This window comes from Homo sapiens, chromosome 8 (genome assembly GCF_000001405.40).
Source record: "Homo sapiens chromosome 8, GRCh38.p14 Primary Assembly".
Lineage (NCBI taxonomy): Eukaryota > Metazoa > Chordata > Mammalia > Primates > Hominidae > Homo > Homo sapiens.
In genome coordinates this window covers 6,729,297-6,752,733 of record NC_000008.11, presented here as the reverse complement: position 1 = coordinate 6,752,733, position 23,437 = coordinate 6,729,297, and the positions used below count along the sequence as shown (strand labels likewise).

At 38.3% G+C, this 23,437-nt stretch overlaps 1 protein-coding gene and 2 non-coding genes across 6 annotated transcripts in view, besides 7 other annotated features; 1 reads left to right on the top strand and 2 right to left on the bottom strand.

The window, feature by feature from the left end:
* The window catches only part of AGPAT5 (1-acylglycerol-3-phosphate O-acyltransferase 5), a 52,862-nt gene that overhangs the window by 8,770 nt on the left and 20,655 nt on the right, over nucleotides 1-23,437 (bottom strand). For 3 of the 4 annotated variants that reach the window (XM_047421939.1, NM_018361.5, XM_047421938.1), the window contains 4 exons: nucleotides 21,908-22,023; nucleotides 20,084-20,173; nucleotides 10,983-11,073; nucleotides 4,906-5,064 (listed from right to left, as the gene is read on the bottom strand). In XM_047421939.1, the coding sequence (XP_047277895.1) occupies nucleotides 4,906-5,064; nucleotides 10,983-11,073; nucleotides 20,084-20,125 (292 nt within the window). In that variant the 5' untranslated portion in view covers nucleotides 20,126-20,173; nucleotides 21,908-22,023. The remainder of the gene's footprint in view (nucleotides 1-4,905; nucleotides 5,065-10,982; nucleotides 11,074-20,083; nucleotides 20,174-21,907; nucleotides 22,024-23,437) is intronic. The other variant, XM_047421940.1, reaches the window with a different exon arrangement.
* Nucleotides 4,260-4,409: an enhancer, noted in NCBI's record as "active region_26957". NCBI's record gives its function as "activates an Ori minimal core promoter by ATAC-STARR-seq in GM12878 lymphoblastoid cells {active_cell/tissue: GM12878}" and the evidence as "EXISTENCE:reporter gene assay evidence [ECO:0000049][PMID:35858748]".
* Nucleotides 5,332-5,626: an enhancer, noted in NCBI's record as "tiled region #12268; K562 Activating DNase matched - State 5:Enh". NCBI's record gives its function as "activates a minimal TATA promoter and a strong SV40 promoter by Sharpr-MPRA in K562 cells {active_cell/tissue: K562}" and the evidence as "EXISTENCE:reporter gene assay evidence [ECO:0000049][PMID:27701403]".
* Nucleotides 6,228-6,277: an enhancer, noted in NCBI's record as "active region_26956". NCBI's record gives its function as "activates an Ori minimal core promoter by ATAC-STARR-seq in GM12878 lymphoblastoid cells {active_cell/tissue: GM12878}" and the evidence as "EXISTENCE:reporter gene assay evidence [ECO:0000049][PMID:35858748]".
* Nucleotides 6,418-6,467: a silencer, noted in NCBI's record as "silent region_18886". NCBI's record gives its function as "represses an Ori minimal core promoter by ATAC-STARR-seq in GM12878 lymphoblastoid cells {active_cell/tissue: GM12878}" and the evidence as "EXISTENCE:reporter gene assay evidence [ECO:0000049][PMID:35858748]".
* Nucleotides 7,490-7,570, bottom strand: MIR4659A (microRNA 4659a). The gene has a single exon (NR_039803.1). It is a non-coding gene; the product is annotated as a microRNA 4659a (primary transcript).
* On the top strand, nucleotides 7,494-7,566 carry MIR4659B (microRNA 4659b). The gene has a single exon (NR_039807.1). It is a non-coding gene; the product is annotated as a microRNA 4659b (primary transcript).
* Nucleotides 7,890-7,969: an enhancer, noted in NCBI's record as "active region_26955". NCBI's record gives its function as "activates an Ori minimal core promoter by ATAC-STARR-seq in GM12878 lymphoblastoid cells {active_cell/tissue: GM12878}" and the evidence as "EXISTENCE:reporter gene assay evidence [ECO:0000049][PMID:35858748]".
* Nucleotides 8,000-8,279: an enhancer, noted in NCBI's record as "active region_26954". NCBI's record gives its function as "activates an Ori minimal core promoter by ATAC-STARR-seq in GM12878 lymphoblastoid cells {active_cell/tissue: GM12878}" and the evidence as "EXISTENCE:reporter gene assay evidence [ECO:0000049][PMID:35858748]".
* Nucleotides 16,060-16,249: an enhancer, noted in NCBI's record as "active region_26953". NCBI's record gives its function as "activates an Ori minimal core promoter by ATAC-STARR-seq in GM12878 lymphoblastoid cells {active_cell/tissue: GM12878}" and the evidence as "EXISTENCE:reporter gene assay evidence [ECO:0000049][PMID:35858748]".

The following is a 23,437-nucleotide window of genomic DNA, read 5'->3' as shown; positions in this document are numbered from 1 at the left end:
TAGCACCTTAGGGAATCTAGGAAAAAATACTCTAAGATATTATTGTTTTTCTACCCATAAATTTCTAGTAGGCACTAAAGTATACTGATACACTTGGGTAATAGAGAAAGTCTTCCAACTATTCGTACAGGTCACAGGTCTACTTGCTGCAAAACCAAGCCCCATTTGCTCTGAAGGCAACACACAGGACCCACATTCCAACAAGATGAAGCCGGGGAGATAACTGCTGTTAAATCACATCAATGAACACTATATAGCCTTTAAAAAAAAGTTACGGAAGTATATATACTGACATGTACAGCTGTTTATAACACACAAGAAAATATGAAGAACAGGAGATATAGACACACACAGAAATCTCATCTTTAAAAAATACGTAAAGGCACATACTCTCTCCAACATATAGACATTATAAAAAAGAGGATTTAAAGGAAAATATCCAAATTGTTAAAGGAAAATATCCAAATTGGGGTTACCGCTGGACAGGTGAACTTGTGGAGATTTTTCCTTCTTCTTTGGGTTATCTGTAATCCCCTCTTCCCTGATCCCTTTTTTTTTAGGCGGATTCTTGCTCTGTCAGCCAGGCTAGAGTCCAGTGGCACGATCTTAGCTCACTGCAACTGCTGCCTCCCGGATTCAAGTGATTCCCCTACCTCAGCCTCCTGAGTAGCTGGAATTACAGGTGCCTACCACTGTGCCCGGCTAATTTTTGTATTTTTAGTAGAGATGGGATTTCACCGTGTTGGTCACGCTGGTCTAGAACTCCTGACCTTGTGATCCACCCGCCTCAGCATCCCAAAATGCTGGGATTACACGCGTGAGCCACTGTGCCCGGCCTCCATACTTTAAATATAAAAATATTAATAGAAATGGAAAGTAAATATGTTGTAATATGAAAATACTGGTAGAAAAAACTTAACTAGGATCATACACAATACTCAAATAGAATACCAAAGGTTGTCCTTAAGCACACAATTTATTACATTACAACAGCCACTTCAGAAAAATAATTAAAAAAAAATCAATAGTAATCAAACTACACTGTTTCGTCTCTGCCGCAATGACATCTTCCATGATTACAAGAAGCAGTGAACCATGAGAGAATGCCCAGGTGGGCTTTGATTTATACCTCCCTTAAAATGAAACTTACACCATAAAACGGGAAGGACAAGGGACACTACTGGCTGCCTCTCCTCAACATAAGACCTCATGAAGGTGACTACAAGAATTCCTGTAGCATTTGTTAGCACTGCAGCTTCTACAGCTTCCCAGCTCTCACCTGCAGAGCGTCCTGGTAGCAACGTGGAGTGGAGCAGAGGCCCTGCATGTTCAACAATCACTGCAGCTAATTCTGACAAACAGTGATCCCCCAGAATGCTTTGAGAAACACTGGGCCATGGCATATCAACAATCTACCAACTTCAGAAAAAAATTATTTCTTAATTGCATCATAAAATATGAATATTAAATAGCCTACTATATATAGAGATAATATTTAATACTAATGAAATGTGGCCACAAAGTACTTACAGTATTCCAAGTTACAGAATTTTCTACCTAACACAACTTATATCAGATGTCATATAATTTAAAGTGACTCTTAAACTAAAGTAGATTATAACCAGACCAGAACACCCATCAATTCATATAAACAATTGAAAGCAGGGCTGAGCCAGTGACAGAAAACAAAAAAAAACAATGAAAGCAGAGTTTTTTCAAGCTACAGGTTAAAAGCAACACACTAGAAGGAAAAACGTGTTATTATTATATCTTATGTGCACACGTATACATGTTGAATAATGTCTCAGAAAGCGGGAATGCTAAATCTAAAATGTGAATGCATTTGTACATCTGAGAGACATTTCCAAAGCAACTTCTACAAAGGTTTGTACTACATTGCATTCCTAACAGCAAAGTATAAAAATGCCTGATAATACTTGAATCTCACCCACTGAGCCTATGATCAAACCTTGGGATGTTTGCCAATCTAATGGATTAAAAAAAAAAAAGGTATCCCCTGTAGTTTTCATTTGCACTTACCTTATCATGAATGAGGTTAAATGTGAAATGTCTATTGTTGTTCTTTACCCATTTTTCTTTCTAGTTATCAGTCATCTTCTTATCAATTTGTAAGTGCACTTTACGCAAGAAGGAAATGACCCCTTTTCTATGATCTAGGTTGTAAATAATTTCCCAGTTTGTCTTTCAGTCTTGATTTTACTCTGGTGTATTTTTCCTTTAATTCAGAAATACTTTATCCTTGACTGAAGTGATAAGATTTTATTTTCTTTATGGTATCTGGGTAAGTCAGAAAGGTCAATCTTTCAAAAGGAGACAATTTGTAATGAATACACATAGGCAGTGACCACCCCAAAGCCACAGTCAGCTCACATGTAGCAGAGGATAAGCAGGGCAGTGGGAGGTTGGAACCCAGGCAATGCAACTCACAGAAGGTTTTGGCTTCCTCAAGGCACTTATGATGCGGCTGGGAAGAGAGAAAGGCAGAGCCCTGTGCTAAGTGCCAGCACTGTAACACACGCCATCAGTGCCACAGCAGTACTGCAAGAGCAGGGGCAGGAGAAGGCACAGTGCTATGCTGGGAAAGGTGCCGCCTGTCACTGTGGGAGAACAGTAGCCTTGGATGAGGGCAACAAAAGAGAGGGTGGTTTCCTGTGGAAAGCAGGATTGGCCACACAAAGCCTTCAACTACTGAATATGCATGGGGTGCAGGAGGACTCAGTCAGCCAGCTTCACCACGGCCGAGGCTTCACGGCACAGCACAGGAGGAAGCGAAGGCAAGGCAGAGATCACGGCTGGAACGCATTCCTCCGATGGCAGGCAACAGAGGCTGGCCTTACCCATGAGCTCTGCTGAACCAAGGGGTTCTTAGACAGGAGGGGACATGATAAAAGTAGCAGCATTTAAACAAGGTTATTATGGGGAGTCTATCTGTTTTTCATTGGTTATAAACACTTGTTTAATCTTAAACTATGTTTAATAAACCAACGACAATCTTGATGAACTGTCTGTTTTCAAATGCAAAAATAGGTAAGTAACTCCTTCGATAGTTTAAAAGAGAAAAATATTAATATGCCACTTTTCTGTAAGAAGGGAGGGATGGTAGAATAAGAAGATATACTTAAATTTGCACATACAACGCACAACAAATTAAGAAAACTGGTTATCGCTAGGAAGGAGAAGGGAAGGCCAGGTAGCAGGGTGGAAAGCAAGGAAGACGTTTCACTGTGCATTTCGTACAGTTTTAATTTTTAAACTGATGCATTACATATTCTAAACATTTACATCTAAAATGAAAAACACCTTAGTTTTCTACTTTACAATTACTCTGTGTTATATACAATTATGAGAACAATCATCTTTCAGATATAAATATGTTACATTTTTTTTTCCTTCGACCATAACCAATTTTTATACTAGCTAGCCCCTGGGCCTCACTCCTCCAGCCTCCCTCCCTAACTTTCTGCAGTAGACAGCTGCTCTCTCTTTCAGTCAAAGAGCTTTTCTTTTAAAACCTGAGTGACCCTCATCTTATCATTATTTAACAGACTAATCATTTGACAACTATAATCTCACTGAACTTTGGAAAAATCCCTAACATCCAAAGATGACACACAGACAGTGTTAGATAATGTAACGGTGCACAGTACTACGTCTAGAAGGCCTACGTGTAAGGTTGGGCAGAATAATTTCTATCCTTGCTCACTTCTGAATGCTTTAATAATGTCTACTTTTATAAATGTTTTGTTGTAGTTAAAAATATTACTCTATAAAATTTCCAAGGCACATCAACTTCAGACGAATGCTTCAGGTGAGGGTTTCCATGTAAAACGTGCTGGAGGCTCATATTTTGAACATCTGCCCTCAGTAGATCCTACTGATACAAGCACACTGACATACATAGTGGCTCAACCCCAAACAGCTGATGAGGTAAAAACACAAAGCTCATTTGGGAGGCCGAGGTGCGTGGATCACCTGAGGTAAGGAGTTTGAGACCAGCCTGGCCAACAAGGTGAAATCGCATATCTACTAAAAATACAAATATTAGTCATGCATGGTGGCACACGCATGTAGTTCCAGCTACTCAGGAGGCTGAGGCAGGAGAATCGTGTGAACGTGGGAGGCGGAGGTTGCAGTGAGCCAAGATTGCGCCACTGCACTCCAGCCTGGGCGACAGAGCGAAACTCTTGTCTCAAAACAAAAAACGAAAAACAAAAAAACCCCATGAAGCCTAGTGTTCTCTCTCAACCCCAGCTCAAACAGATATTTTGAAAAGGAAACAGAAACTCCACACACTTCCCTGTTTGCCTATTTCCATGTTTACATTTCTCTAACAGCTAACACTATGTTTGGTTAGTTTAACTAAGTTATCCTGCTCACTTAAAATTCTATTTTTTTCTGGTTATATCTGACAATAGCTCAAAGGTTCTTAAAACCTAACATGTTTGGGGAAAAAAAAAGGTCACACTTAACTGCATTTCTTCTTGTCACAATGACACCCAAATTTAATAAATATTTTACGAAAAATACAGCAAAAGGGCAGCACTGACTAATAACGTGCACTCAGTACTGCCGGGCGTGCTCCTTCTTCACGTCTTCCTCCCTTTTACAGAGCTTTCCTTTTAAGTGTGAACTTTGAGTAGAAAGAGGCTGGATTAATGATAATTGGTGAGTCCACAGGACTCACACGACAGCCAAGAAATACCACACTTTGCAGGACTAATGAAATCTCCACTGTTACATCTTAATAACATCTTGAAAAATATACCGGGTAAATGTAATGAAGGAAAAAAGTACACTTAACCTACTTTGTAAAACTGAATTCTACATAAACATGTGCACTGTATATACCGTGTACAGGCATTTCAGGTGCGTGAACACACTTACCCGTCATGGTCGGTGACTCTCTTCGCTGCCCTCCATCGTCTTTCCCTTCATAAACCACCGTAACATCATAAATTGCATCTAAATAATTCTTCATGCAATCAAAAGCAACGTGAGTTGCCTTTATTCGTGGTGTTAGCACATGTTTTAATACTGCAAGGCCTAGAAGTCAATTCAGTGCCGTCATTAATTAGTTACAAAACACCTCCACAATATACTGTTTAACATCTAAATTATTTTTAAATTCCCTCAAACACACACAACAGAATCTATTAATTCCACAACCTCATATATTTAGGGCTCTAAGTTTAGAAAGCACTCTCACTTGCCTTTTTCTGTTTAAATCAATATTCATTTGCTATATATTGATCAAATATCTACATGTACAAGTCACCGTGTTGGAAGTTTATGGCCTAGCGGAAACGCTTCAATCTAGTAGACCCCGGCAAGGGTAAATATTAGTGCCCTCGCTTCTGGCCACTGAACAAAGGTGATAGCATCTTGCCCATGGTGACTCAAGATTTCCTAGAAATACAGTCACACAGCACATGGCCTCCTGTTTCTGGCTTCTTTCGCTCAGCATGGATCTGAGGTTCATCTGTGTGGCTGCAGGACTCAGTGCTTCATTCCTTTTTATGGCTGAATAGTTAGTATTCCACTGTGTGAACAGATCACATTTTGTTTACCTATTAATTGCTTCATGGACATTTGGGTTGCATCCATACTTTGGCTATTATGAATAATGCTGCTATGAACATTCATAGGAATTGCATATGAAGGCTGCAGGTGAACAAGCTTTTGTATGAACATACGATTTCAATCCTCTTGGGTATATCTGACATATTTTTAAAAGGTTCTTTAGCTGGGGGACTACTGCAATTATCCAGAACAAATCCCATTCATTAGGTTCCTACTAGGGTTAAGGATTTGTTCTTCTCTCCTTCCTATTACCTCCCTTTTCCTTGATTAAAATATTTACTGACAATTTAACAGAAAACAGTAGCTCTCAATAAGTGACATGAAAATAGACTATAAAAAACTAGTCTAGATTTTCTACTGGCCTCTCTGGAGGGAAAGTAGCTGAGTAAGGAAGAACAGCTATTACATGGTGGGACTGTCCCACACAAGAGGTTTTAAAATGCAGGGTGGTGTGGGAAAGACAAAGATTCCCACAAGCACGTATCTGACTTTAGTCCCCAGGGCAGGGGCAGTTAAATTGATTCACAAACTTGCAACAAAAATCTCAATCGCACACCAAGCTGGGAAGCATTTATTTGTCAGTTAAACTAGTTAACACTTCCTTCTTTGCTACTGGAGCTCATCCAACTTTATGAAGTCCAAAGTTTCAAAATATCACTCTGTGGTGTTCACTAAAACAACTAATTACTGGCATCCAAGTAAGTTAGTAAGGAAATAAAGACAGAAAGCTAGTATTTTTAAAACATAAAAGGAAATGAATTATCATGAATGTTTTAAAAAAATAGCTTTGTGACTAGGCTTCTGCTCCAGAACGCGTAGATAAAGCCACACCATAACTAGAAGGGGAATGGCCAAGAGGAAGACATGCAGAGCATGCCTGCGTGCACCCACCTGCCATGCAAAGATAAGTGGAAGAGCAGGAGGCAGGGAAACAAAGAGAACACGGAGCCGGGCGCGGTGGCACGTGTATGTCTGTAGTCCTAACTACTCAGGAGGACTGCTTTAGCCTGGAAGTTGGGGAGTGGGGGAGAGAAGGAAGAGAGGGAGGGAGAAGAATGCAGAAAGAAAAGAGAGAGAGGAGAGAAAGCAAGCAAGCAAGAGAGAACGAGTGAGGGAAGGAAGAAAGGGAGGGAGGGAAAGAAAAGAAGGAAGGGAGAGAGAGCGAAAGAAAGAAGGAAGAAAGAAGGGGGAGAGAGAACATGAGTTCAAATTGGGCATACTGAGGCTGAAGGAACAAAACATTCTAGAAGTAGTTGGAAATATGGTCTGTAAAATGGCAAGAATCAACCGAAGCTAAGCATGTGGAAACCATGGGAATGGATAACTGAAGTAATGGCAGTGGCTGAGAATAATAAAGGGCAGAAGATGAAAAGGCAAGAAATACAGACTCCGGAAACATCCACATTAAAAAAAAAAAGGTAAAAATAATAACAGGGAATACGACAACCCAGGAAATAAAAAAAGGGGGGAAACCAATGTAATACAAAAACAAAGGGAAGAGATGTTTAAAGGAAGAGGAGGTGATATTTATCTTCAACAAGAAAAATTATACTCCATTGTTTATTTCTACAATAAAGTTAAAATTATTTCCTGGTTATAAAGGTATAAATAATGTCAAAAGTTATGTGAAAGTTAACAAATATGACAACTGACACAAATGATACGATGCTTTGGAGGTCAGTGGTTAAGTGAGAAGTGGGATTCATTTCTGGAGAGTGGATGGAGTCAAACACAAGAAAGCAAGGGGCCCAGACTTCTCTTTGCACAGCTATAGACTTAGTTATTTCAGAATTGGAGTACATTTGCAAGCTGGGAGAAACCCCTGCAGAGAAGTAAGGCAGATGACTGAGGCAACGATGGAGACAGGGTAGACGGAATCAAGAGCTTAGAAACTGTTGACGTTGCCATGTCTAAGAAGAAAATTTTTCTCCAAAGTTTTCTTCTTAGACATGGCAGCTTCAGCAGTTTCTTCCAAAGAAATCCAAGTCAAGAGACTCCACATTAAGATTTTGAAATCAAAAGGGATATTGGGTGCACTCTTTCCAGAGAAATATAACTTTCTGAAAGCAAAAAATCCTTGAATGTGAAGAGAACAAAAATCCGTGAAAACCATGAGGTAGTCAAAAGGAGAAAAATAAAAGAACTGCTCCACACAGACTTGGCTCGGCTGAAATGAAATGGCCTGGCTTGGCTGCAGAAGGCAGTCAGCATTGATCTTACGATGTTCTCCACTGCTAAGGAAGGGAGAAAACAAACAGGGTTGCCAAGGGCTGAGGAAAGGCAGGGCAGGAACAGAACAGCCCAGCACTGGGATGGGCAGACCCCGGGGCTGGGGCAGACAAGAGCTGCAGAAGGCCCTGCAAGCTGCAGAAGGGCCAAGGAAAGAGAGATTAGAAATCAGCCAAAAACACAGGTTTAGAGCGAGTGAGGAGGAGGGAGAACCAGAGTCAGCTATATGGTGTGGGCGAGCCAGTGCCATTTCCAGATGAACTTCAAGGTGGTAAAAGCAGAGCACTGGACCCAGCACAGGACCTCGAACCAAGCACAGGATCCCAGACCAAGCACAGGACCCCGAACCAAGCACAGGACCCCGTACAGGAGAACAAGATCCCCCCAAGCCTCCACAAAGGACTGCAGCCCTGCCAACACCTTGATTTCAGCTGAGTAAGACCCATTTCAGACTTCTCAAATGTAAGAGAAGAAATCTGTGGTGTTTTAAGCCACCAAGTTTGTGGCCCTGCCTGAGAGCAGCCACAGGGAGCAAACACACCTTCTTAAGAGCGAGAGTGCCGTTACCACACAAAGCTGAGCACTAGCTTTCTTGTTTGCTATGCTTTCTCAGAAGTTGGCTTCAAAGTATTCATTTAATTTCTACTTCTTTGATTATGAGAAAGAATAAACATTTGTTCAAGTGTGTGGGTCATTTGTATCTCTTGAATTTCTTATTCATGCCCTTTTCCCATTTTTCTAGTTTATGTCTTTTCTAATTATGAAGCACTTTTGTAATATTAAGTATATTAATATCCTATATTATAAAATATTATTAGCTTGCCATTTGCCAACTAAATTTGTTCATATGATGTTTGAGACATAAAAATAATTTTTATTCAGTTAAGTCTACAAAGAAAAAAATTGCTTTGTAGCTTATTCCCTTTGTTCTCCTGTTTTGAAAGAACTCTCAAATCTCTACAATCGCCAGTGTTATTCACCCTATGAATAACATGGAAATTCTAGGTATCTGGTTTGCCATTATAGACACATCATTAAATTTCTGTTTTCTTTTAAGAGAGTTCAAAAAGCTTAAGTATGTCACCTTCGCTAGCAACTATGGTTTTAACCATGGCAATTAAAAAAAAAAAACCACCATAGGGGCTTACTTTAATGGGTCCAGGTGGCAGATTAAGATACATTTAATTCCACATCCCTTATAACCATTAGAAAGCCAAATACCTAAAACAAGTCTAAGGAAAATTAGTTAAAACAAAACCCTTCGAACAGCTGAGAAAAGTTTAAATATTACCACAGTGCCTGCACTTCTGCAGGACCCCATCTGAACAGCTTCTTCCTCCATGTCTAAGTTTCCTATAAGAGGTATGCAACTGCTATCAATTTGTTCTTTTTGTGAATAAAACTTAGGCAAAAAAACTGAATGATGGAGTTACCAAGACAAGAAATATGAGTGTATGCATGGAAGGATAAATTCTATCTTCAATATGCTGAGTTTGAGACATCCTTTTGGGCCAGTCAAGCGAAGCTCTCTAATGGACAATTGTACAAATGGGTCCAGAGTTAGGCAGAGAGACATGGAGGGGAGGAAGCTTTTGCGAGTCATCAGCAGTCAAGGAAACGATGGCTAAAGCCATGGATTTAGAGGAAGGCCACCATGAGAAACAAAAAGTGAAATTAATCAAACACCAAAACCTGACACTGGAAATAACACATGTAGCAGGGAGAAATGAAGCAGAAAGAGGCTGGAAAGGAGGCTAGGAAGTAATCGCCAGAGAGTTGGGAGGATAATGGAGAACAGCCCCACAGAAGTCTAGGGAGAGAATTTCAAATCAGACCAAAACAAATTGAGGGCAGAGTGAGTACTGGAAAAAGTGCTTACAACAAAGGTAGACTACAGATTCGAGAGTGGTTTTTGTTTTGTTCTGTTTAATAAATGTGAAAAGGGCAAAAGAGACAATGGCATTGCAAAAGAGCAACTGAAATGACAGAACGTCATGTCTATTAGACAGAGGAAGCAATGAAAGTCAAAAGAGAGCTGGCAGATGGGGAGACCAACTGAACCCTCCTATTCTGAAACACTCCTTACTTAATAGGACATGTGTTTAAAAACAAACTGGCATTTTTTAAAAGTACTGTTACAAATGATGTCATATACCTATGACATATCTGCTCTTGTAAGCACCTTGTAAAAACTCCCCCTTATTTTTAATTAAACTAAAATTAAATAAAATTAAAAATTAGTTTCATGCACTAGTCACATGTTGAATGCTCAAAAACCACATTGGTAGGAGCCAGCACACTGGACAGAACAGATGAAGAACTTTACCATTATTGCAGAAAGTTCCATTAGACAGCACTGTCATAGGCCCTGCTGTAATGTCACCAACAAGGTATTTGCTCAGTGAGTGACTATCAACATATGGAGATCACACACTAAATCACAGTCAAGCTTCAAAGACACCTCTAAGAACATAGCATAGCCACTGTTTTCTGTATACTTCCCAATTTGGTTAAATTGCATAGCTTATTGGTGTACCAATTATTCAATTTTCTAAAATATGGATATTAAGAACATTACCATTGTTGAAGACATTAACAGCTTCCAAGCACTGTGGACCAACTTTGTGTAACTTCTCCAATAGAAACTTGACATATTTTCTAATCTAATCCTCACACAGATTTAGATCTACTTATAAGGCATATGTTCTTTTAAGAGATGAAGAAGCAAGCTCAGCAACATTACACAACTTCCAAGTTGCAACCATACAGCTAATAAAAGTACGAGTTTGGACTCCAACTTAGGTCTGTCATCTTACAAAACAGAAGCTCCATTACATATAACCCATACACTGTAGAAAAAGCTTCCATCTACATAATCATGTACTTAGATAGATTTTAAATAAATCCATGGCACAAGAATATGTATCGTAACAAGCACTTCAACTTAATTTCTCAGATATATGTAATAATAGCATGAAAGTGAATTAAGGAGAAGAAACTTCATTTCCTAAGAGATAATATGTACACTAATTCAAGGAATGAATACATTCATTCCTTCAACTGTAAAACAAAAGTATCTTTTCCAGGAAGAAAAACTAAAAATGTTATTATCTTTGAAAATTATTTGTTCAAACACTCAAATTTTTACTTACCACGTTGGGCAGCAAATGCCTGACTAGCTGAAAGGACTTTTGTTTGCTCTGGATTATACCTTGTACCTTCTGGAAAAATCACAAGATACATCTGTGGGACATAGAGCAAATTTGGTTTATTTTGTGTGAGCTTTGTTTTTGTTATTGTTAACCTAAAAAAGCTAAACCTACTAATGCTAACAGAGTATTTCCTACAGTAGGAGAAAATGTATATTTATTTACATGTGACCTTCGTTTCAAGAGGGGCAAACAAAATGCAACAATTAAATATGAACATAACGTGAACTATATTTTAAATGCAGTGCTACATTCATTGGTAGGTCAGCCATGAAGAATCTAAAAACATTTCTAATTATATGCTAATAATTCACTAATTAAAAATAGGCCATGAAACGCTGACTCATACAAAGCCTCAATGAGTTTTTGCCCTTTCAGATCCTGTAATACGTCATTTTTAGAAATACAAATTTTAGAAATCAGTATCGTTAAGTACCAACACTAAAAAGTACCTCATTTGATGAAAATCATATAGTAAATTCCCACCATGTGAAACGTTCTAAATGTTCACATTCAAAAGCTTCACACAGAATTCCTATTTCACACAGCTCCTTTAGTGCATTTTAAATTTTATTTATAAGAAACCTCATTTGTTATATAAACTGAAACTAAAATAATATAAAGAAGAATATCAAGCTGGACGTTTAATAAGTAATCAATTAGTCTAAGTTTTTACGCTTATCTGCTTAGGAAAGTAAAAACAGAAACATTAAAATTATACAGCAAAAACTCCTAGCTTGAGAACTGAGTTACAAAAACTACACTAATAACTTTGATTGACAGCCAAAAGACAAAAATAAGTTATGCACACCAAATCTTTTCAAATACAAACAGAATACAGGAAACAAGACAGGAGCTCATGGGAGAAAACTACGTTTATTGGATTCATTCTTGCCAGATCTCAGACAGTACTCAGACAACACTGTCTACCTCTGTACGTCTGGTACAGAAGCCTTCCTTCATCTGGATGACCTATGATCATACAGCTCCTACTTAAAAACCTATGTGGTACTGAATTTTTTCTTTAGATACTGGTATAATGGTATCTAAAAATTTCGTACTTTCAGCTTCCACGCAAATATGCAAGCTTTTTGTTCATTCATATAATAGTCTTCAGAACCCACACCTAACTTAGAAATTAACAGATAATATTATATGTATCTTTATATTTAATAATTTATATTATTTTTAATAATTAATATTATTATTAAACAATAATTTATATGTATAATTATATTTAATAATGAAGATTCACCAGATCTGTTAAGAAAATGTAGAAAAGTGGGTACAATTAGGAAAAACATACAAAATTCCTTATTATATTATAGCAACTAGAAGGAAAAACAGGAAGACAAACATTAAAGCTAGTTCCAAACACCACACATTCATTTTCATGAAAATGTGTTTTGTAACAGTAAGGTTTATATTCAAAGCCATGAAAGCAATTACTGTGGGCTATCAGCTTTCAACTCAGTCATTTATAAATAAAACGATTATTTCTCAGGTTAATAACTCATGTGGTATTATTTGCTGTCTTAGATGTTTAATTTAAAAGAACATTGACAGACAGCAGGAAGGCATGAATTCATTCACAGCTAATTCAGAAACTATTTCTTATATACTTATTATGTTCCAGGAACTGCACAAAGGATAACAACACATATGGTCCTTCCCTTCATGGACAAGTGAGGAAAAGAAATACATTAAACAGATAAATAAAAACATGTCGTTACATATCATGATATGATTGCAAAGAAAAAGAACAAGGTGTGATGAAGGAAAATGATGAGAAAAAATTTAGGAAGGGCAATGGGGCTAGGAACTAAAGAATGGATAAAAGAATGAGTGCTTTTCCCTAAAGATGAGGAATATGGAAAGGATTTCCCTCACACCAGTTCTAGTCAAGGCTGTACTAGGAGGTCTAGCCAGAAAATTTAGCAAGAAAAAGAAATAAAAGCCATCAAGATTAAAAAGGACAAAGTAAAACTGTTATTTCTATAACAATGACATGATTGTTTATGTAGGAAATCCTAAGGAATATATTTTGTAAGTTACTAGATGATAAATAAGTTTAGCAAGGTTAGTATATTAAAAAGTCAAATATATGCCTAGGTCAACAAACAAAAACTTGAAATTTTTTTAAATGTCATCTACAATAGTATCAAAAACTGAAATTCTTAGGGATATATCTGGCAAAAGATGTGCAAATCTGTACATTAAACTACAAAACACACTGAGATAAATAAAGAAGACCTAAGTAAACAAATGCAGGCTACGTTCATGAATCCAAAGATTCAATCCTGTTATATCAATTCTTCCCAAATTCATCTATATCTTCAATACAATCAAAATGAAAAGCCCACAAACTTTGGGTAGAAATTGTCGAGCTAATTCTATAATTCACACAGAAATGCAAAAAACCTAAAATAGCCAAAACAACTTTGAAAAGAAAGAACAAATTTAGAAGACAACTACACTATTTAAAAACTTACTGCAAAGCAAGCATTATTAAGACAGTATGGTATTGGCATAAGGATATATATATATAGATCAATATAACAGAACAAATGCTCCATTGATCTAGGGATAACAGACCCATCTATATTCAGTCTACTTATTTCAAACATTGGGGGGAAATAATCTTTTCTATAGTGATGGTTACCTATATTAAAAAAATATGAACTTCGATCTTACACCATATGAAAACATTAATTATAAATAAATCCTAGAACTAAATGTAAAAGCAAAACTCTAAAATTTCCAGAAGAAAACAAAGGAGAAAATCTTAGCAACCTTAAGTTTGGCAAGGACTTCTTAAATAGGATACAAAAAGTGGAAATTATGAGAGAAAAAAAATCAATAAATTAAGCTTAAAAGTATGTTCTTCAAAAGATACATATAAATGTATAAAAATAAAAAAACACACGTACTCAAAAAAGATACTATTCACAAATAGGAAAAGGTAAGTAACAGATGCAAAAAACTTGTACAGGAACATTCTTAGGAGTGACAGGCTCATCTCATTTTATCATGCTTCGCTTTACTGAGCTTCACGGAAATTGCATTTTTTTCCCATTGAAGGTTTATGACAACCCTGCATCGAGCAAGTCTATTGGTGCCATTTTTCCAACAGTATGTGCTCACCTCACGTCTCTGTGTCATATTTCGGTAATCTCACAATATTTCATATTATTATATCTGTTATTGTGATCTGTGATCTCTGATGTTACTATTGTAATTGTTTGGGGGTGCCATGAATTGCACCCATATAAGATGACAAATTTAATTGATAAATGTCGTGTGTGTTCTGACTGCTCCAATGATGGCCTGTTCTCCTGTCTCTCTTTCTCTCTACCGCCCCTTGGGTTTCCCTATTCCCTGAGACACAACAATATTGAAATTAGGCCAATTAATAACCCTACAATGGCTGCTAAGCGTTCCAGTGAAAGGAAGAGTTGCATGTCTCTCACTTTACATCAATAGCTAGAAATGGCTTAGTGAGGAAGGTATGTTGAAAGCCAAGGTAGGTCAAAAGCTAGGTCCTTTCCACTAAACAGCCAAGTTGCGGATGCAAAGGAAAAGTTCTTAAAGAGAATTAAAAGTGCTACTTCACTGAACACATGAATGATTAGAAAGCAAAACAGCCTTATTGCTGATATGGAGAAAGTTTGAGTGCTCTAGATAAAACATCAAACCAGCCACAACACTCCCTTAAAGCAAATCCTAATCCAGAGCAAGGCCCTAACTCCCTTTAATTCTCTGAAGGCTGAGAGAGGTAAAGAAGTGGCAGGAAAAAACTTAGAAGCTAGCAGAGGTTGGTTCGTGAGGTTTAAGGAAAGAAGCCGTCTCTCCATAACATAAAATTGAAGTGGCAAGTACTGATGTATAAGCTATAGCAAGTTATCCAGAAAATCTACCTGAAATAAAATAAAGATTAAACAGAAGATCTGGGATTTAAACCTGAATCTAATTTCAAAACCAATACTCTTATCCACCAGGCTGCCTCCTATCTGAAAAGGAACTTAAGTGAAAGCTGGAAGAAAAAGTGTTAAGTCTCCATGTTTGTGCCATAAGTTTTACTAGCTCATAGTCTAACAAAATGACTTCTATTAGTTATTTTTATCACAAATATGCTTCATTTGCATCCACAACCAATAAGTTCCTTAAGAAAATACTGTATTGTCCCAGCAATAATTATGGAGATGTATTTCTTCACAACTTATAATACAAATATATTTTTTGAAACAAAATTCTGCATTTCTTAAATACTAATACCGAATAAGAACTGATACAATCATGGAATAGATTCATGAGAACTAGTAAGCCACACGAAAGTTGACTTAACATATTCTACCATGTCACTTACTTAATTCACCTTCAGAAACAAAAGAATCATAAGAACCTGAGCAAGATGTATCCGCTCTCACAGGGCGTACATATTAAGAAATGAAACAACCATCCAGATTCTTAGAAACCCGACCTGGGACAGTGACCTTACAGTGAAAGCTGCTCAGCACGGCCTCTTGAACCTGCCAGTCTGTTATCCACACTGCGCTAGGAACATAAAAGGCTGGAATTTTGCCCACAAAAAACAGGGAGGCTATTCTCGTAGCCCATAACCAGACTAGGTTATTTGAATCAACCTTCCTACTGAAAACAACTTAAAAAGCTGGATATAACATTATTTTAAAAGTACCCAAGAGTTGGCAAGATGTTAAGACTGAAATTAAGCAAACACAGTAAAGCAGAAGTAAGCATAAAACAGAACTTTGATTTACAAGACTCATAAGATGAAGGGCACAGAAACCAAAACCCATGGACCTTCTAATAGAACTGTGAAGAGAGAATCAGACAAGTGAACGAAACACCAAAGGCTCTACTCTCAGGGTGAAAGTAAATGAGAGGTGAGCAGGTCTCACGTGCATCTGCAACCCTGGCTGCACTGCCTGAATGGCTCAGTTCACCTTCAACTCAGAATCTCGTTTGGGTGGGGCCCACGCTAGAGGAGCCTTAAGGGGCCCAGCTAAAACAGGTAGAAATGTTCTCCGGAGAAAGACACTCCCACCTGAGGCTTCAACTGATTTCCACAAATAACTTAACCAAACACAGCCAGCAGCAAAGGAAGATAACAAAGCAAACAAGGAAAGAAAGTACCATAAGCAAGAACAGCAGAAAACAAGTGACTCAGACAAGACTTTAGGCACTGAAATAACCCAACACACCTTTTAAATTATGCCTTTATCACTTAAAGAAACAAAGACAAGCTTGAAGATTAAAACCAAAATAACAGATTTGACAAAAACCACACAGCACTTCATATAATGAAAAACAATAATTTAAAACACTGAAGTTGAATGGATTTGTATCTATTCTGGATTGTATTTTAGAACAGAAAAAGGACATTAGTGGAAAACCTGGTAAAGTCTGAATAAAAATCTGTAGTACAATTAATAGTGTGGTACCAATGTTTATTTCTTAGTTTTGACAAATATATACCATGTTATGTAAGATGTCAACATTAGATGTTAAAGCTAGATGAAGAAGGCTGGGCGTGGTGGCTCACACCTATAATCCCAGCACTGTGGGGGGCCGAGGCGGGCGGATCAAGAGGTCAGGAGTTCGAGACCAGCCTGGCCAACATGGTGAAACCCTGTCTCTACTAAAAATACAAAAATTAGCCGGGCATGGCGGTGCACGCCTGTAATCCCAGCTACTCAGGAGGCTGAGGCAGGAGATTGCTTGAACCCGTGAGGCAGAGGTTGCAGTGAGCCAAGATCGTGCCACTGCACTCCAGCCTGGGTGACAGACCGAGACTCCAACTCAAAAAAAAAAAAAAAAAAAAAAAGGCTATATAAAGAATAAACAGGAACACTCTGTTCTTTCTGACGTTTTTGTAAATCTAACATTGTTCCAAGTTTTGAAATTTATTAACCAAAAATGGGAGGCGGCTTCCATTAAGTATGTAGAATGCTGAAGGAATACTACTGCCAACCCTACAACAACAACAACACTGACAAGCTGTAGATTCATGACTTTTCTTAGACCCTTCAGAGAGCTGCAAGGTTGCAAGGCAACCAACTAACCCAAAAGTCTAAGGAAACATGGAAAACTCAAAGGAGAAACAAGATGCAAGTGGTTGTTTAGTTGGGGGCCAATGTAACAGATACCAGTAAAAAGAATTTAGCTAAAAATTTTAACAATTTTGCAGAAAGCCAAGTATGAGCCAGTGGAACAGACGAACCCCTGGGCTACAGACACAAGGAGAATGCAGCACATTTCACAGGCTCGACCCACAGACCTCCTGTGTACTCACAAGACAAAGAAAAAGGAAAACACACTGCGGTCAGGGAAGACTGGATGTAGGCTTGTGGGAGGGAAAAGCAGCCCTGTGGGAAGGGCTCAGGGCCCAGCCCACATCCTTCTTTCTACCTTTCCTATGGAACAGCAGCCTGAAACTGATGAACAGGGGCAACAAAACCCTGCTACCCATGGGGCACGGATGAATACTCGATGAGGCTGGGTGAAGAGAACAGGGAAAAACTCTTAGTAAAGGCAGGAATACATACTGGGCACAGACTTACAGCCAGAAGCAAGGCAGGATCAGAGAAGGCTCCACCCCTGAGATTCTCCCTAAGAATGAAAAGACACTTCCCTTCCCTCTCCTTCTACCACCAAACTAGCGAGAGTTCAGTAACAAGTATCCAAGAAGTATAGTGGGGAAAGGCATAAAGAAGAGAGCCACTCCAAGGTGCTATGTGAAAACGCTGAGTGTGAAATAGACACTGAGGAAAAGCTCTAGCGGGAGGACATCCCCAACCTACAAACAAAGTAATGAGTTCTACAGAAACCTGAAGCTGTGAGAAAAAGCACATGAGCAAAACCCAAATGCAGTGCACCTCCTCAGTGGACTGACTCCACTCCTCAACACTAAAGGCCAAGCAGAAAGACAAGTCTATCCATTTCCAGGTATCAAGACAACTTGCCTCCATTTCTCCTGTCTTACAAAAAAGGCCCAGCGTTAGGCAAAATCTTAGGAAGTATGACAAAGGCAAGATAAAGCACAATCTGAAGAGATAAAGTAATCAAAATTTGCAGACTCAGATATGGCCCAGATGTTGGAATTATCAAGCAGGGAATTTAAGAGAACTGCAAGTATAATAAAATGATAAAGGTTCAACTGGAAAACGTGACTAAGCTTTATGATCAGATAGATACACTAGCACAGAGATGGAAACTATGAAACAGGGTCAAAGGGAAATGTGAGGAATGAAACACGCAGTAGCAGAGATGAAGAGTGCCTTAAACTGGCTCACCAGTAGACTCAACACAGCCAAAGGAAGAATCCATGAACTCAAAGGTGGGTCAACAGAAATTATCCAAAATGTAACACAAAAAGAAAAAAGGGAGGGGGCGTAAAAAAAAAAATTAAAAAAAAAACCAACAAAAAACGAATAATGCATCTAAGAACTAAAGAACAGCGAGAAATGAACCAACACAAACATAACTGGAGAAGAAAGACTGGGGTAGGAATAATATTTAAGGAAATAAGAGCAAAGAAATTTCCAAAATTAATAACAGACACCAAATCATAGATCCAAGCTCAGAGGACCAATCCAGGTAAAAATTTTTAAATGACACTCAGATATATGATACTTAAACTGCTGCAAACCAAAAACAAGAAGAAACTCACGAAGGCAGCCACATAAACAAGACACATGACAAGTGTAAAGAGCTGATTTTTTCAGCCCTAGCGCCACTGGCAGCTATATTCATGGGGGCAAAAAAGCAAGGGGCCACTGTGCATAGGATGCCAACATCACCCAAAAGGCAGCTATCTTCATTTGCTTCATATATACAATGCCCACAGCAGGACACAGAAGGAACTCCACAGCAGTCATCCATTGCTGGGGTGACTGGACAGCTGGGAGAGAAGTGGGATGGACATTTTAAGGTATAAATTCATGATTTTTAAATTTTTTTTGTAAAAAGTCGATAAACCATATTACCAACTTATTCTGTCTTTTGGAGACCTACATGCAATGACCACAATTCTGCCCAAATTCACCACACTGTTTCAGACTAAACAGACCCTTTGAAGACACCAAGCTTGGTTCTCAAGGGTTAGCTATAACAGGATAAAGGGTCACTGTTCATCTCATTCCATTCTGCTTCTGTCACCCAACACATGCCCAAAACAGATGCAATGTTCTAATGTAAAAACACCTAGAAGAGGCATGTGAATAAACAATGCTCACACCAGGCACTTCGCCAGCTGACCGTGAAGAATTCTTCCTTCACCATGAGCTCCAGCTGCTGCCCAGGACCCCTGGTGAGGGGAGGGCAGGAGGAGAGGAGGGAAGACAGAGGGAGGGAGCCAGAAAGGAAAGGGAAAGCCTGTGCACACGAGCTAAGCTTCTGAGCACATGTCATGTACTGAAAGAGAAAGCCCAAGTCGCCCCGGTGATCATGGTGCTTTGTCTCCGGAGGGAACCAGGGGAAAAGCCTTTGGCAGCAATCAGCATTCTATACAAAGCAGATTGAACTCTCCCCACTTTTGTGGAATAAAGTTTTATAAAATATTATTTACACTGAATGATTTAACATTTGTAGAGATTCATCCTTTTTTGGTTTTTCTGTACATGTAAGACATTCAAAATTTGCACTAACAGAAAACAGTTGCTGCTTCTAAAACCAAATCTGATACTAAAGAAGACAAGAAGTAAGATGAGCTTGTAAACTAGCTTAAATGTCAGGTTAAAATGCAGTTAGTTCTATTTATAGACTCTGAACGACACCAAATGCTCTTTTTATTCCTCTTTAAGGTCCACTGACCAGCAAAGGACCTAGTTGTTTACAGCAATCTTTCTGATGGCTGAAAAACCTGCCTACCTGTACATAGAGGGTTTCTGTTACCTCAGCATAACCCTGAATTAGTAATTACACATGGGAAAATACATTGTCAAAACAATTCTTAGATTTTAATTTAATTCTTAAATTTAGAAACTGAGAGCTGGTAAGAAAAATAAAAACGGGTAGGCTCTTACTGGAGTTCCTGCGTCCACGTAGCTCTGCAACTTGTTTCGCATCTCTTTCTCGTTAAATTTGGCACTGCGCTTTACATAGATTCCTCCATGCTGCCACAATCAAATCGGGAGAAAGAGCATTTACTTTTAAAATAACAATTGGCCAGAGTCATCAAAAAGGCAACTTCTCTTGCAAAAAGTACAGAATGAAAACTACATTTCAGAATTTAATCTATATTTAATATCTTCAAACATTAGCTTCTAAAGAACATTTAGCTGAAAATTGCCTTGTCTCAACATAATTCAAAAAAACTGCATGTGACACTGTATTGGAAAACACATGAAGTTTAGTTTTGTTGGCAGTTAAAATGAAAATGCTTTCTTTCTTAAATACACATTTTTAAAAATAAAAAACCTGATCCATCAGATGGATTTAACTCCCAATTCTTCCACCCACTTATTACAGAGTCACTAAAAAGCGTCCTTAACATGTCTCACGATCTTTAGGGATTTTAAAAAATCAATCCTGCTAAAGATATTTATGTGGCACTGTTACGGACAGAAGTGTGTTCCCCCAAATCAGTCTACTAAAGCCCTAATAGTTCCCACTGTGACTGTATTCAGAGAGAGGGACTTAGAGGTGGTAATTAAGGTTAAAAAAGGGCCTCAGAGTGGGACCTTAGCAGTCTCTGTAGAAGGATTAGTCATCCAGTGTAACTAGTCCTTCTAAGAAGAGGAAGCAGTGCCAGCGGTGCTTGGGCACAGGGAAAAAAACCACCTGAGGACACAGGAAGAAGGATGCTGTCTGCAAGCCTGGGAGAGAGGCCTTGGGAGAAACTAACCCTGTCAACACCTTGATCTTGGATGTCTAGCCTCCAGAACTGGAGAAAGTAAGTTTTATATATACAGTTTGCTTTTTTTTTTTAATATCATACAGATCACTAATTACTGTTATCAACAGTTTAATGTAATTGCCTATCAAATTCTATGCCTTTAAATTTCCTATTTGTTTGAACTTTGTACATTTGCATTTTTGCTCTTTCATTTTACTGCAGCTGGCCCTTCACATCCATGAGTTCCACATCTGCAGATTCAACAAATCACAGATCAAAAATATGTGAACAAATAAAAATTAAAAATAATATAACAATTAAAATAATACAAATAAAAAATAAAGTATAACAACCATTTACATGGCATTTATAATGTATTAGATATTATAAGTAATCTAGAGATGATTTAAAGTAGTGCACAGGTTATATGCAAATACTATCCCATTCTATATGAGGGTCTTGAACACCTTAGATTTTGGTATCTGTGGTGGTTCTAAAACCAATCCCCACAGATGCTGAAGGAAAACCGCATATGGATAATCAGACGTATATAAATACACACCACTAAAAATGCCAAACAAAATTACTTCAACTGAGAATAAACTATTAAACCCATTTTAAAAACCATACATTCACATGAAGTATATTGTTAAATTTTAAAATATAACATTTTTATAGGGTTGGGTATGGCAGTTCACACCTATAATCCAGCATTTTGGTAGGCTGAGACAGGCAGATTGCTTGAGTCCAAGACCAGCCTGGGCAACACAGCGAGACCCCCATCTCTACAAAAAATAGAAAATTTAGCCGGGCATGATGGTGGGCACCTACGGTCCCAACTACTTGGGAGGCAGAGGCAGGAGGTTCACTTGAGCCCCAGAGGTCAAGGCTGCAGTGAGCTGTGTTCACACCACTGCACTCAGCCTGAGCAATAAAGTGAGACTGTCTCCAAAAAAAAAAAAAAAAATTTATAAACTACATATATAGAGAGAAAAGCATGGAAACAAGTTACCTGAGCAAAGTAACACCCATACAATGGCAGCCATTTTAACCCTTCTTTCAGCACGTAGCGCACATGTCCTAGCGCATTCTGCCTGATGGCCAAGATGTCAGCAACAATCCAGTCAACTGCAGAGACAGGACCCAGTTAGCGCGTACATGAGGCTCTTCACAGGTTGTACTATGAATGGGCTTCAAAAGTACTATGATGGCCGGGCGCGGTGGCTCACGCCTGTAATCCCAGCACTTTGGGAGGCCGAGGCGGGCGGATCACGAGGTCAGGAGATCGAGACCATCCTGGCTAACACGGTGAAACCCCGTCTCTACTAAAAATACAAAAAATTAGCCGGGCGAGGTGGCGGGCGCCTGTAGTCCCAGCTACTCGGGAGGCTGAGGCAGGAGAATGGCGTGAACCCCAGGGGGCGGAGCCTGCAGTGAACCGAGATTGCGCCACTGCACTCCAGCCTGGGCGACAGCGAGACTCCGTCTCCAAAAAAAAAAAAAAAAAAAAAAAAAAAAAAGTCCTATGATTAGGATGTTTAAAATTTCTTTAAATCTATCTGAGATATTTAAAAAATATACATTTTCTGTTTTTTGAGCTTTTTTTTTTTGCATTTCTTGAAAGGCTTTTTATTTCAAAGATAAAATACAGTCACAAAATACCTAAATAATCCAACAGCAGCATGTGTATGGAACAAAATGAGCTTCTCTAAATCCTAAAGTCTAGAAAACAAAGTTTTTTTAATGAGAAAGGGGAAATTATAAACAAAAAATGGCCAAATGCAACTATGAATTGCCACTAAATATTCAGTGTGTATATATATGTTCAGCAAAAGGCAAGGACACTTCATCTTCTACTAATGAGTTTTTAGGACTCGGTACTAGGTTAGGACAGCAATCAAACAAAGGTCTCACATGCCTTACAATGATGCTGGGTAGATATATGTGCTCCTTATGTAACCAAGTAAAATGATCTCAGACTGCTAATAACTATAGTTAAATAAATATGTTATTAACAAAGGGTTGCAAAAACAAGGGTAAGATGGTATGAATTGATAACAGTAGCAATAAAAAACTTCCTAGAAGTTGTTAGTTGAGCTTTCAAAAAGAAAAAATTTCCAACACAGAGAGTGGCCCTTGCCAATTAAACAAACAGGAAGTGGCAAAGTGGGTGCAGAAGATGGGAAACAGAGGACATGGTTTAAAGAGGAAATGAAGTGAAATTCAGGAGACAAATGATACAGGTCTTAAGAACCGCAGAAACTTGGATTTGAAAGTAAATGGCTACAAACTATCTCCTGATGAGAAAGAAAACATAAAAATGAAATGTAAGGGAGACTTCTCTAGTTAATACACACATGAGCTCAACGATACTCGAAAAGAAAACTGTTAATCTGTGAAAAGAATAATTCTATCATCACCCATGTTCTCAGGCCATGAAAATGAGAACAAAAGGAGTGAGTCAGAGGAAGGAAATGTTAAAAAAAAAAAAAAGTCTGTAGAAAATAAAAGCTGAGGATTTAGAGGAATTACAATAAAGTTT